This window comes from Homo sapiens, chromosome 5, assembly GCF_000001405.40.
Source record: "Homo sapiens chromosome 5, GRCh38.p14 Primary Assembly".
NCBI lineage: Eukaryota > Metazoa > Chordata > Mammalia > Primates > Hominidae > Homo > Homo sapiens.
The window spans coordinates 117923966-117938327 of NC_000005.10; the positions used below are offsets into that span (position 1 = coordinate 117923966).

Genomic DNA, 14362 nt, shown 5'->3' on the forward strand with positions numbered 1-14362 from the left:
GTTACTCCAAAGGTTCATGTGTCATTGTCATAGGGAAGGAAAATCTTATAAACCTTTATACTTTTAGTTTTATGTAACAATATATACATATAAAATATATTTTAAGACTGGCTTTTGTAAGTATGTAACTCAGAATGTCTACCTTTGTTCTGGATAACAAACTTAATTTGAAGAAAAAAATGTTTTGGATAACCATTTCATTTTTACTAACAAAAGGTAAACAGCAGATTTTAAATAGCCACTGTTTGATTGGTAAAGATCATAATTCTGGCGTTGAATAATCTGCACCTCAATCAATTTAAAATCATCAGTTACTTGATTCCTATCAAATAAAATTCTTATCAAATGTTTTATTATGAATTACTCTCTTTAACTCCAGTAATGTTTTCTTTTTTTGCCTTGAAATCTATTTTGTCTGTTGTTAATATAGCTTTACCAGTTTATTTTGGTTAGTGTATGTTTTTACTATTCTCTTACTTTCAAACATTCTGTCTTACATGTGGCTCTTGAAATCAGCATACAGTTATATTTCAGTTTTTAAACTTATTTACAAATATTCATCTTCTAAATAGAGCATTGTCTCCATTTACATTTACTGCATTTAATAAAATATTACAGTTCAAATTTACTATCTTGTTCTGGGATTTATATATTTATATTCTTTCATGTTTCATTTTCTCTACTTTTTTTGGATTGATTATGATGTTTTAGCTATAAATTTTTAAAAACATTTCATTTTGTCAGACACATGTATTCATGTAACTACCACTACTGTGAAGATATAGAATTATTCCACCACTACAAAGTATTGTGTTACCCTTTGTGTTACCTTTTATAGTCATATGCAATCCCTTCTTCCCCATCATCCTTATGCTGGGCAACCATTAATCTGTTCTCCATAAAAATTTGTAATTTTAAAAATGTTTTATAAACTGATTTTTATGTGATCTGTAATGTTTGTGAGGGTATCTCTGTATTAGTTTGCTAGGGCTGCCATAAAAAAATAGTGGGTAGCTTAAATAACCGAAATTTCTTTTCTCACAGTTCTGGAGGCTGGAAGTCCAAGATCAAGGTGCTATCAGGGTTGGTTTCGGCTGTGGCCTCTCTTCCTGGCTTGTAGACAGCTATCTTCTCGCAGTGTCCTCACGTGGCCTCTTTGTGTGAAGGTACGATGGTGGGTGCAGAGAGTTTTGTTATTTCTTGGCTCCCAAGGTCCCTACCTGGTCTGCCTTTTCTCTCCACCTTTCAACGTCTTCTGTTCATTTTATATATAATGTCCAGGGATCTTAGCTATACTTAGAGGAAAAAGATAAGTATGTTTACTGCATTAATTATGTTGAATCATTTCATTGCTTTTTTGGCTGGTTTAGAAGTTTTTATTTAGTTACATGGTTAAACTATAGATATTAAGTTTATCAATACTTTTATCCTCTTTCTGGGAAATACAATGACCTTTGAATAGTTTGATCCCACTTATGTATCTACTCCCAACTTGTCCTCATATATTTTAATTTTATACTCGAAAACCCCACAAGTTGTTATTTTTAATGTTTCATATAATGATATTTAGTTTTTTCCACCTTTTTATCACTTCATTTTATTCATTCCTCTTGTATATCATATTCTCCATCTGGGTTTATATTTTCTTTTGCTTCAAGTACGTCGTAAATAATTTCCAGTATGGGTTTATGAGTAGCAAACACTTTCAGTTTCTGTTTGTCTGAAAAAATACATTTTACTGGCATCCTTAAAAGATGATGTTACTGAGTAGAATTAGTTACTTTCTTTCAATATATTGAGTATATTATTCTACTGTTGTTTTTTCTCTTTTTATTTTGGGAGGTTTTCTTTGCTTCCATTTATGCTCCTGTAAAAGTTATCTGTCATATTTCTATGATTGTTTCAAAATGTGGTGTTTGTCTTTGGCATTCTACAGTTTAATTATGATGGGTCCAGGTGTAGATAATATTGTTTTTATTTATTCAGCTTGAGATTCATTGGTATTTTGTGTATGTGGATAGGGATATTTTATTATTCATGGAATAGTCAGCTATTATTCAAACAATGCCCCATTCCTATTTTCCCTCTCTTTTCTTTCTGGAACTCTGTTTTAGTTTATATCCATACTTTTCAATATATTCTTTATGCTTTTTATATGTGCCTATATTTTCCTTTTTATGTTTCTCTATGCTTGCAGCTCACAAATTCTGTCTATATATGTCTGTGACTATATCTCTTTGTCTGTATGACTGCTAAATTTATCCAGTGAGCTTTTAATTTTAATAATTATATTTCTCACTCCTTAAAGTTGCATTTTTATTACTAGATTTCTATTTTATAATTTCCTTAATATGTTAAGTTTGTTTTGTTTCCTTAAATACAGCAAGCATAATATTTTTATAGGTTTTATCTGAAAAACGAAAATATTTGAAATCTTTAGGGATATGTTTCTTTTGTCATATTTGCCATGCTGCCATGTTTAGTTGTCTTTGTGTCAGGTTATCATATGTGAAAATATATTCACTAAATAGATGAAGTACCTTTCTCTAGAGAGAATTGCCGTTTGCATCTGTTATGTAGATTAGGGTATTACTAATTCAAAAGCACCTAATTCCAAGTTTAAGTCTTAAAACTACCTGTTGACTATTAATTTCTAGTATCACACTATGATATTTTAGCCTTTTTGGGTCTCAGATTACTGTGCTAAATTTCCATTATTAGGCTTTACTTTCATGGGTATCAGGTTTAATTTTGGTTCTTCCTGACAGCAAAGATTTTAACACACAAGTTCGAATTTATTAGTATAGGCAAATGCCATCTAGGTAAAAACAGCATTAATACTTGGTTACACCTGGTAGTTTACATTTCCTGTTAGTTTTATCCTAATGATTTCTTATTATCTTTTTATGTCACCTTGCTTTTAAAAAAATGTAAGAAATGTTTCATCCGGTAGTTTAAATTACTTTTGGTAAAGGAGAGGTGGTATGAATAGCTTAGAATGCCGTTACCAGAAAGCAGACATTCTTTTACCCTGTCTCAGGCATCAGCAAATTTCTAAAGTTTGCAACATTAGAAGCATCATTTTATATATTTAGGAAAACTGAACATAATCAGCCTAGGACTTTAAAAGATGAATTAAGTCTTAGAGCTAATCTTCTTACTTGATGCTTCGTGGACTTCATAGCTCTTAGTAACATCCATTTCCAGCTCTTTTGAGGAGACAGGTAGATAGACAGATAGATGTGTGTGTAATATATATATATATATATATATATATATATATATATATATATATATATAAAATGATATTGCTTGGATAATAATAAATGTCTTTTCCCTTTTTTATGCAATGAAAGCAGGTCCTAGAACTTTCAGGAAATATTGCTGACATCATACATATATGAAAATGTGGTTAGATATGGGTGAATTAAATTGGGATGCTTATAGCTAAACATTATCCCAGGAAAAAAAAGGAAACATGTATTACAGTGCAGGAGAAGCACAGCATCAACTGGAAAATTTATGACCTCACTCTTACGTTCTCAACATCAGAGAAAGGTATCACAAAATTTCTAATTTGAAAGGAAATAACAAATTCTTAGGGTGGCAGAGGTTTAGAGAATTTGCCTGAATTTTGTACCACAGTGATTTAAAAAAAAATAGGTGGAAAAACTGCATAAGTTTGGCTTAACAGTAGCTCCCAAGGAGCAGTGCCTGGTAAATGTGGTTCCAAAACTTCCAGCAGGCCATCAGTCATGAAGGGAACAGAAATATTCGGGGGTAAGAGAGAAGAAGAAACTGTCTCAGTGTGGGCCCAAGGGTAGAGTGGAGACATATTTATCCAGAGCCTCACAGGCAGAGTGGAGACATATTTATCCAGAGCCTCACAGGCCAGACACCATACTGGGTGCCAGGGGTATAGCAGCAGCTGAAATATTTTTCACTCTTACAAATTTCCAATCCAACATAGAAGATGATATAAAACAAGATAGTAACTAAATAATTAAGTGTAAAGATGCTACAAAGGAAACACATTTCTTTGCAGGAATTTGGAGAGTTAACTAGGTAGCCTTGACCTATTTTTGTTCTACAAAATTTCACGTTATTTCAATTCTTTTTATCTTTGGTTCCCAAGAATGTCAAATATTCTAAAGACTCCCATTTTTTATCCTTTTCTAAATATGTAAAGATACATGAAAAGGTTGTATGTATATTCACTCTGGAAGGCAGTATGGCATCTGACCTTTTGGCTAATGTCACTAAAATGAACTCTTGATCTATTTCCCCACGGTACAACATATGTGAACACACAGCAAACTTTCACTCAGCCTGGAAAATTCACAATCCAACTTATGAAAGTAGTGCTTGTTTTCTACTAACATAGCTAACCAAATTATATAGTCTACTCTAGATCCAACTCACTTAGGCTTGTTAGAATGTTTCTGTTAGAATCCATTTGTGTTATTTGTGGCAGAAATTTCATGCCATGATGTACTGTGGAAAGAAATAAAAATGACTGAGAGCAAACATATTTTTCCCCTGTCAAATTACCTGAATTTCAAAATAGTTCCACAACACTACAATGTGATCTATTCCCTTTTGTTATCTGATCAGACTGGACCCGAAAGCCTCCAGTATAATAAACTTTTTTCTTATATACCAGCAATTTTGTTATAAACACATTGCTGACTGAAGCCTAAAAGACCCAGGGTTAAAAAATGATCCATGATCTTGCTGTTATGAGAACACAAAATGTATTTTCTGAATTCGGAAAGTCAGTGGCAATGCTGGGCAGTGTTGCTTTAGTAAAATAAAGTGACTCATCTCTTGGAAATCAACTATACCCAAAGATTTGCTTCCTCCAAAATCTTCTAGTTCACAGTCAGGAAACAAGTGATCTTCAGGAAAATCCAAGAAGTCAATTTTCCTATATGCCTGCTTCATGTAGATAACTTCCTATGGATGACTTCAATTTTCTTGCTGATAACTTCTATATCTAAAAATGCTGATAACACATGTACACGTCTAGAGAATACACACAAGGTCACATACATATTAAAAACAAAGTCTTCAGCACAACCTGTAATTCACTGGTCACATGTAGCTGAATGTTCATCAATCTATGGATATTTGTTCCTGTGTTTGTTGCAGTGACAGAAAGGGGAAGAAAAACCCACAATCACCTAGGTTTAGTTTTTTTCTAAATGCTAATAGAATTCTGGGCAAGATTTAAGATTTTGAAAAATATCAGTAATGAAAAAATAAAACTACTAGAAAAGTGACTTCCAGACAAGAGTAATTCATACTTGTATGTCAGAATTAGCTGTTAACTCTTCTCTAGCCCCAGTGCACACTCAAAACATCAATATGTCCTTCTGACTTCCTGGGTAAGGATGCGCTTCAGTTGAAGACTTGGAAGCAATTTTACTTTGACTGTTAAGCAAAGGCATTGAACTTGACGCAGAAAGCTAAAATTGGCAGAAAGATCAAGATGAGCAGAAGTGTGGCAGGGGCCAGTGCCTCCCCACTCCCACTTCAGGCACCTATGGGGCACTCTAAGTAACCAAGGGGAGCTTGCAAAGGGCCTATTGGAGAGGCACTGCATACACCCTATTGTATTGCTTGTCAAATAACCAAAGGGAGAAATTACATCATTTTTCATTAGGGAGCATACATTTGGTTACAATATATATCCCAGGAATTTATTAAAGAATTTCAGTAAAAATAACCTTAGCATATCAATGCTGAGCAAGATATAAAAATACTGCCATATGCCATATATTAGTTAGCATATCAAAGGGCCATATAAAATGAAAGTTTTGGAGTATATTTGGGAATGTTCACTAGAAACTTAAGTACACTTACTACTCTCTGCTATGCTATTTTAAGAAGATAGCACAAAAGGTATTTTACTCAAAGAATTGTGCATTAGGCTATTTTGAAGTTCAGACATCAAGTATTCTTCATATATCAAATGTTAATTATATATTTAATGCCATCTTGAGAATTAATTTATGTAAAAAGTAGCATTTGGCATAATGAATTAGAAATTTTAAGAGTTTTATGATAACATGAATATATACTTAGCTGTAGTATGATGAAATAGTATTGAATGACATTCGTCAGAGTTATATGCACAATATAATCATACTCACTCATGCTAGTAAATAAAGACCATGCAGAACTTCTCATTGGGGGAGAAGTGTCATCCAAAGAGGTCTTCTAATTTCACTATCCCATCAATCTCTCTACATGCATACAAATGTTATCAAACTATTCTGTGGAATAAAAACTGATATCATGCAGGGAATCGGTAACTGGCTTAAAAATGAAACCATTAATTAAAGTCAGAAACCAGGCTTCCAAATGATCACTCAAGGCTCAGATTATGTAAAATTCCTCACGGTGTGTTTTGAGTATGTGATATTTAATATGTGCAACCTCTGTTCAAGACCTTCAGTTTAGAAAACTGCAATCATTTCATTTTAAAGCCCTCACAATATATAAAACTATATATACACACTGTATTTACTCTTTCAGACATGTTTATTCTCAGCTGATATGACCAAGAATCATGATCTTTTTTATTTTTTTTATTTTTTGAGACAGTCTCCCTCTGTCACCTAGGCTGGATTACAGTGGTGTAATCCTGGATCACTGCAACCTCCGCCTTCAACCACCGCCTGCAACCTCCGCCTCCTAGGTTCAAGCAAGTTTCATGCCTCAGCCTCCCTAATAGCTGGGACTACAGGCATGCACCACCACACCCGGCTAATTTTTGTGTTTTTTTTTTTTTTATTATACTTTAAGTTTTAGGGTACATGTGCACATTGTGCAGGTTACATATATATACATGTGCCATGCTGGCACGCTGCACCCACTAACTCGTCATCTAGCATTAGGTATATCTCCCAATGCTATCCCTCCCCCCTCCCACCACCCCACAACAGTCCCCAGAGTGTGATATTCCCCTTCCTGTGTCCATGTGATCTCATTGTTCAATTCCCACCTATGAGTGAGAATATGCGGTGTTTGGTTTTTTGTTCTTGCGATAGTTTACTGAGAATGATGATTTCCAATTTCATCCATGTCCCTACAAAGGACATGAACTCATCCTTTTTTATGGCTGCATAGTATTCCATGGTGTATATGTGCCACATTTTCTTAATCCAGTCTATGATTGTTGGACATTTGGGTTGGTTCCAAGTCTTTGCTATTGTGAATAATGCCGCAATAAACATATGTGTGCATGTGTCTTTATAGCAGCATGATTTACAGTCCTTTGGGTATATACCCAGTAATGGGATGGCTGGGTCAAATGGTATTTCTAGTTCTAGGTCCCTGAGGAATCGCCACACTGACTTCCACAATGGTTGAACTAGTTTACAGTCCCAACCAACAGTGTAAAAGTGTTCCTATTTCTCCACATCCTCTCCAGCACCTGTTACTGAGAAAAACAAGCAATGGGGAAAGGATTCCCTATTTAATAAATGGTGCTGGGAAAACTGGCTAGCCATATGTAGAAAGCTGAAACTGGATCCCTTCCTTACACCTTATACAAAAATCAATTCAAGATGGATTAAAGATTTAAGCGTTAGACCTAAAACCATAAAAACCCTAGAAGAAAACCTAGGCATTACCATTCAGGACATAGGCATGGGCAAGGACTTCATGTCCAAAACACCAAAAGCAATGGCAACAAAAGACAAAATTGACAAATGGGATCTAATTAAACTAAAGAGCTTCTGCACAGCAAAAGAAACTACCATCAGAGTGAACAGGCAACCTACAACATGGGAGAAAATTTTCGCAACCTACTCATCTGACAAAGGGCTAATATCCAGAATCTACAATGAACTCAAACAAATTTACAAGAAAAAAACAAACAACCCCATGAAAAAGTGGGCGAAGGACATGAACAGACACTTCTCAAAAGAAGACATTTATGCAGCCAAAAAACACATGAAAAAATGCTCATCATCACTGGCCATCAGAGAAATGCAAATCAAAACCACTGTGAGATATCATCTCACACCAGTTAGAATGGCAATCATTAAAAAGTCAGGAATTTTTGTGTTTTTAGTAGAGACTGAGTTTCACCATGTTGGCCAGGTTGGTCTCAAGCTCCTGACCTTGAGTCATCCGTCCACCTTGGCCTCTCAGAGTGCTGGGTTTACAGGCGTGAGCCACTGTGCCCAGCCCATGATCTCTTGAATGACTTTATGAATTTTATTATTTTAAAATAATTTATTGAGAAAATCACTAGGGCAGTACAAAGACTTACATTTTATTACATGTTGCCATTCAGGTCTCAGTTTCCACATAGATAAATAATTGTCCTAATCATTAAAGTTGTTGTTCAGAATTGAATATAAAATGTATCCAAAAGTATTTGGGGCACTATAAATTGTTGAATGGATATGGCCATTACTATATATAGCATTGGATCCGTAAGACTGATGCTGTCACAAAATAAGTATTTTGTTTAGTTTTTCACATGAGGTTAATGTAGACACATGTTCAAAATATCTTTAAATGGATACATTTCTCAGGTCTTTGCTCCAGATTAAGTTTCTCCAGCTGCTATCCTTGTACTTGACCCTGATTTATCCAAATCCCTTCTCTTATATTTAAACTCTAGGAATTCTCCTGTGTTAATGGTAAAGGCCAATTGCTTTGGAAAGCAGTTTTTAACCTCTCCAGCTGGACTGCATAAATTGATTAAGTATGTATTTACTGAGAAGCTACATTGTGTTTGACTCTGTGGCCATGCTATGTATTCTTTTTCTGACCTTCCTTAGCATGTTTTCCTTAGGGAACATGTCCTTTTTACCCCCAGCTATTTACTACAGCATATCTCATCTCTTGCTTTAGTATATAAGCTCTTGAAAGCCAGACTATGTTTGATTTATGTTTCTATTTGATGAACACCTTTTTCAGTACTTCATAATGCATACTTGATAGAAAGTTCCTGAAAGTATCAATGAATGAATGAATATATGAATGTAATTCTTAGCTTAATTTTCTCTGATATTTTTGCCTCCAAGCAGTGTTCTGTTTATTTTTACACATTCTCTGACATATTATAGTAACACTCTTAAAATATATATTAGCCTCATGCAATACAAAATACATCTTTGCTATGGTACTTTTTATAATTAAAATAAGTTTTCTTTCTTTCTGACAATATTCCTTTGTTCCAGCAATACCATGTTCCAGGTTTTTCTTTCTTGGACTACGCTTTAAATGTCAATATTTCTTAGGATTTTATCTTTGGAATTTCTTTTCTTTCTCCACAGTTTTCTCTGAAAGGTTTCACCCATTTCCGTGGTCATACTACATTTATTTGAGAATGAATTTCAAATCTCTAGTTCAAATTCAGATTCTCTCTTAAATCTTCTATCTGCTTATCCAACTACATATGGTACGGGATCACTTAGCTAACGTAAGGACCCTGCTACTCAAAATATCTCCCAGGGAATGTTCAAACACACCCACCACTCACCCAAGACAGATACCTGGGTATTCTTTCCAACTCTGTCTTTTTTTCCTTCCCATACCTGTAATGTTAATCTGATCATCAATGTATCTCTGCAATCCGTTTACCTTACTGTACTCTTAATATCATTTTACTACTTAAAGCCATTATCATCTCCTTCAAAGTTCATTAATGTCTGCCAACTATAATATTGTTTTTCTATATTACAGACCTTGCTTCCTTGCCCATTCACCACTCTAGAGCTGAGGGCATTTTCCAAAAAAACACATCTTGTTCTCTCATAGCTACATCTGGAACTCTGCCTACTCCAGGCTCCACTCCCTCACCCCACCCACCCAATAGTGATGGTGGACTAACTATTTTCTCCCCATCTTTCAGATCTAAACCCCACATCACTCTTTCAGATCTAAACCCCAGAAAGTACTCTTAAGTACTTTCTGAGTACATTCTGGGTACATTGATTTCTTTCATCATAATATTTATAAACATAGCTCAAGTTCTTAAAGCTACTTCCTGTCCATTATTACCCTTATTTATAAACCCTTCTAATCTTATTTCTGACTTTTATATTCACTTCATGTTTTTTTTCTCTTAAAACATTTATTGTCACTTCGTGGTATTAACACTTCATTATATTTGGAGGTTAGTTTGTATAGTTATTTGCTCACTCCTTGCTTATATATAGATATCTTATTTCCCACCTTTTAAAAACAGATGTTTATGTGAGCAGACTCTCATACATTGTTAATTATTTGTTTTGATTAGCATGAAATGTATTTGTTTATAATTTCAGGACTTCGCTATTTTAACATTTTATAAAAGGGTATTCTTAAAATAATGATGGATATTCCAAGTGAGGAAATGGCCTTACATTTCTGCTACAGAGTTTTCTTAGACATCAAGAATAAATTTTAATTGTAGAGTAATTTTAACTTCTCAAGTTAATCCATTCTAGAATTTAGAATCTCCATTGATGTATAATCTTATGCAGTGAAGGAACCCTTGTTCATTTCCCTGAGACGAATTCATGATCATTTGCTTTACCTCTTGGCATTTTATAGTATGATCTTATGCAGTTATATAGATTCAGAATAATTCGCACAAGTATGCATGGCTAAACATGACTTAAAGTGAGCATTTGCATGGTATTTCCTTTAGTGGTTAGTTTAGGCCAAACCTTCTCTGTTGTCTTGAATAATTCAATGATCTTTTTTTTTCTTCTTTCCAGAAGAAAAATGAGAGAGGTGATTCAAGCTGAGGTAGGCTAGGCATTTCCAATTGACAGCTGTAACCTTGTATAACTAAATCCATCAGAAGTATCCTGTTACAGATATAGTGCCGAATGTTTCATATCCTTTTTTGTAAAAAAGGTCAGTGTGTCCAATTCATAGTATCTTAGATCCCAAGGGAGGTGTGTAATGTTATTCTCCATCTAGTAAAATGTATTAAGACTGTTTATTGAAACATAGTACAGGGGCTCAACCTTTTTTGACTTCTTAGAAAACTTTATGTGGAGACAGAGTAGGAAAATGCCTATTAAACCAAAAGTAACTAGAACACATCTGTCAGGTTTACGCATTTTGTGTGTTATATTTTCTAATATATGTGGATTTGGAACTATTTAGAGAGATGAAAGAAAAGTAAAATATCTTCATCCTGGTTCAGTAACTGATTACTATATAAAAGTGATGTAACATACATATACTTAGAATAAAAATTATGTCTTAGTAAATTTCTGAATTGACTGTATTTGATAAGACATGATTAAATCTAAAGAGTTGGATTGACAGATGATTTCCATTTTAAGTGAAGGAAGTTATATACATTCTATAACAGCAAAGCCTTAAAACAAAAATACTCCCTTAAAAAATATAAAATCAATCACAAGATCATGAAGATAGTTTTCAAGTTTCTTTGTTATGTATACACGAAACACTCAAAGTCAAAACGCTATTTTAAACTCGTAAGGAAAGTCGGGACAAAAGAAATACTGTTTTGAATCTCTACAGAGGGAATTCAGGAGGATCAAGATAACAAAAATAACTGAAGGCAGCATTGCTGACATAAAATCAGCATTATGTTCTGCAAGGCAGCCGTGCCCTTGAAAACACAGCTTGGATTAGCTGTAACTATTGCGGGGTGAATAACATAATCTTGAAAAGAACATATATGTATATATCTTATAGACATTCTTATAGGAGTGCTGGTTATAATTAAGTGTTATCAACATGTGAGGCTGAAAATGCAGTCCATGTAAAGCAGTAGAGATATGCTTCTCAGAATCTGTCTCTTCACTTTGTTAGTCATCCTTATTAAAAAAAAAAAAAAAAAGAGGAATTGGGAAAAAATAAATTTCTAAATCTTCTCCCAAAATAAGATTGTTATATCTGCTGTAATAAATCTGATAGCCCTTATAAAATTTTGGCATGTTAAAGTGGAAAAATATATAATAAAATGTTGTATTTGCTCCAGGCACATCTTTTACATTCATCTTTATTTTTAAAAACAAACTTTCAAAGTTTCATTTTGTGCTATACGTTCCCCATTTAAGTTTGTTCCAGTGCTCTAAATTAGTTAATGTGACCCTACATGGTCTGTATTTTTCTTTTTTACAGTACAGAAAATTAATAGCTAGAAACTAGAAGACTTACCATGTTCTAGACAAAATTCTGAGTACTCCACAGGCAATTTGAGTCCAGAGCCCCCAGCCTTAAATACCATGCTGTAAATGTCATTGCTTGTTTGGGATTTGTGGTTTCTCCCATTTTTGTGATACATATTCTGTACATATTGTGAGGCTTGTTCAAGAGTGAAAGTCATTTGATTTGGGAGTGAACCTAGAGTTCAAAGAGTAATTTTTTTTTTTTTTTTGGTCTGTTTCTTATTAAGTATATGGGAGTTCCCATGACCTGATAAACTGTGTGTGTGTGTGTGTGTGTGTGTGTGTGTGTGTGTGTGTGTTTCCCCATACTTTGCGTAGGATAGTTCAGGCAAGAGAAATAACTGCATTTGTTGCTAGTGCAAATTTTCAAAAAGGAAAGAGGTCAGAGAAGTGATCATTTCTAGCTAAAATGGTTTTGTATTTTAAAATAATGAACTGTCTGAAGACCTTTTTAGCATTTATATTTTATCACATTTTATGGAAGGTAAAATGAACCATAAGTGGCATTTGAAAATGTTGTGAAACTTGAAGCTCTTATTGTTATCAAGGTTATTCTTCCTCAAGCCACTTTCTATTTACTCTCAAGCGAGTCATGTCAAGCTCTGCTTTTTTATTTTTGTCACCATCATTTGGGTCTTCCAGTGTCCTTCAGTTTTTCAAATCCTATCTATCTTCAAGTCCCAGGCTTAATGCCCAGTGCTTTAGGAAAGAACTTCTATAACTAAGGATCTTTTCATTTTTAATTAAGACCTCTTTCTCTGACTGTTTGTTACAACATTTGTTAATTGCTGTTTATTAAAACACACCTGTAATCCCAGCACTTTGGGAGGCCGAGATGGGCAGATCACCTGAGGTCAGAATTTCGACACCAGCCTGGCCAACATGGTGAAACTCTGTCTCTACTAAAAATACAAAAATTAGCTGGGCATGGTGGCAGGCACCTGTAACCCCAGCTACTGAGGAGGCTGAGGCAGGAGAATCGCTTGAACCCAGGAGGCAGAGGTTGCAGTGAGCTTGGGTTGCACCACTGCACTCTAGCCTGGGTGACAAGACTGAGACTTCGTCTCAAAAACAAACAAACAACAACAACAAAAAGTTTACCAGGTATGTGTGTGCGTGCATGTGATTCTGTATTGATTTCTACTTTCTTCTTCCTCATATTGTATATTTTTTCTTCTACACCGAGGGTTGGGATGTTGCTGGTAATCTATAAATGTTTTTAACTGATTGATTTATAAAGCAAGTAGAACTTGAGTTACCCATTTCAGTGAATTATATTTCAGTGAGTCAAGATAAATTGTACCAAGGTCAAAGGAACTTACACTTTAAATTCAACATGGTCTTCATATTCAACAAGAGCTTTGCCTTGACCTTTCCTTGTAATTGCCTGAAGACGTACTCAGGGATTATGTGGTTCACTCTGAGGCATTCTACCTTGGGGTCTCATAAATCATGGATCTTCAGAATAAAGCACTACAAAAATAAAAGTTTGCCACTCTCTTGTTTTTTTTAAAGTACAGTGACTGAGTGATTCTGCCCCAGATTGGAGTGGGTACGCTTCTGTGAGCAGTGTATATTAGGTCACCGGATGAGGAGGATGCAGGACCAAGCCGAAACTAGATTATGACAGTGGACCTGGCAGTAGGAGGGAGATTAAGACTGTGGCTACAGAAGCTGGGCCCTCAGAGACAGAGGAATGACCTGAGCAGTACTAAGTCTTGGTCTCTAGACCTGAAACACTTAACTGATTCTGCAGCCATCAGGCAGGTGTAATGAAGCAGCTTGAAATTCAGTATTAGCTAACTAATCCAGGGCAATTGATTAACTAGGCAAATGTGACAGAACCCCGATGAGGACTAGTGGTAGGAAGGGGGGCCACTGGCTGGATTCTGGCACGGTATATAAGTCCTAGCTTACGGTTCCTGAGGGGAGAGGGGGAAATGCTAACTAACCCTGTGTCTTAGCCAGGTATCTCCCCAGGAAGCAGAGCCGGAGACAAGCAGGTAATTTATTTTTGGAAAGTGACTTTTGGAACAAGAGTGGAATAGAGCAGAGGAGGAAAAACCAATACAAGGTTGTATATTCTGTTGGTCGCTGCTTTTGGCAATTGGGTCTCAATCTTGCAAACATCTTTGGAGGAGCCTCAGAATTGTCTCCTAGTGGTGTGAAGAAGGGGATAATTTATCCATGGGCTTTCATTT

The 14362-nt window shown here is 35.0% G+C and overlaps 1 long non-coding RNA gene across 1 annotated transcript in view; it reads left to right on the plus strand.

Annotated features, from left to right (window-relative positions):
- The window catches only part of LINC02147 (long intergenic non-protein coding RNA 2147), a 535702-nt gene that overhangs the window by 193605 nt on the left and 327735 nt on the right, over window positions 1–14362 (plus strand). The window contains exon 2 of the long non-coding RNA NR_104997.1: window positions 1045–1166. This is a non-coding gene — a long non-coding RNA (long intergenic non-protein coding RNA 2147). The remainder of the gene's footprint in view (window positions 1–1044; window positions 1167–14362) is intronic.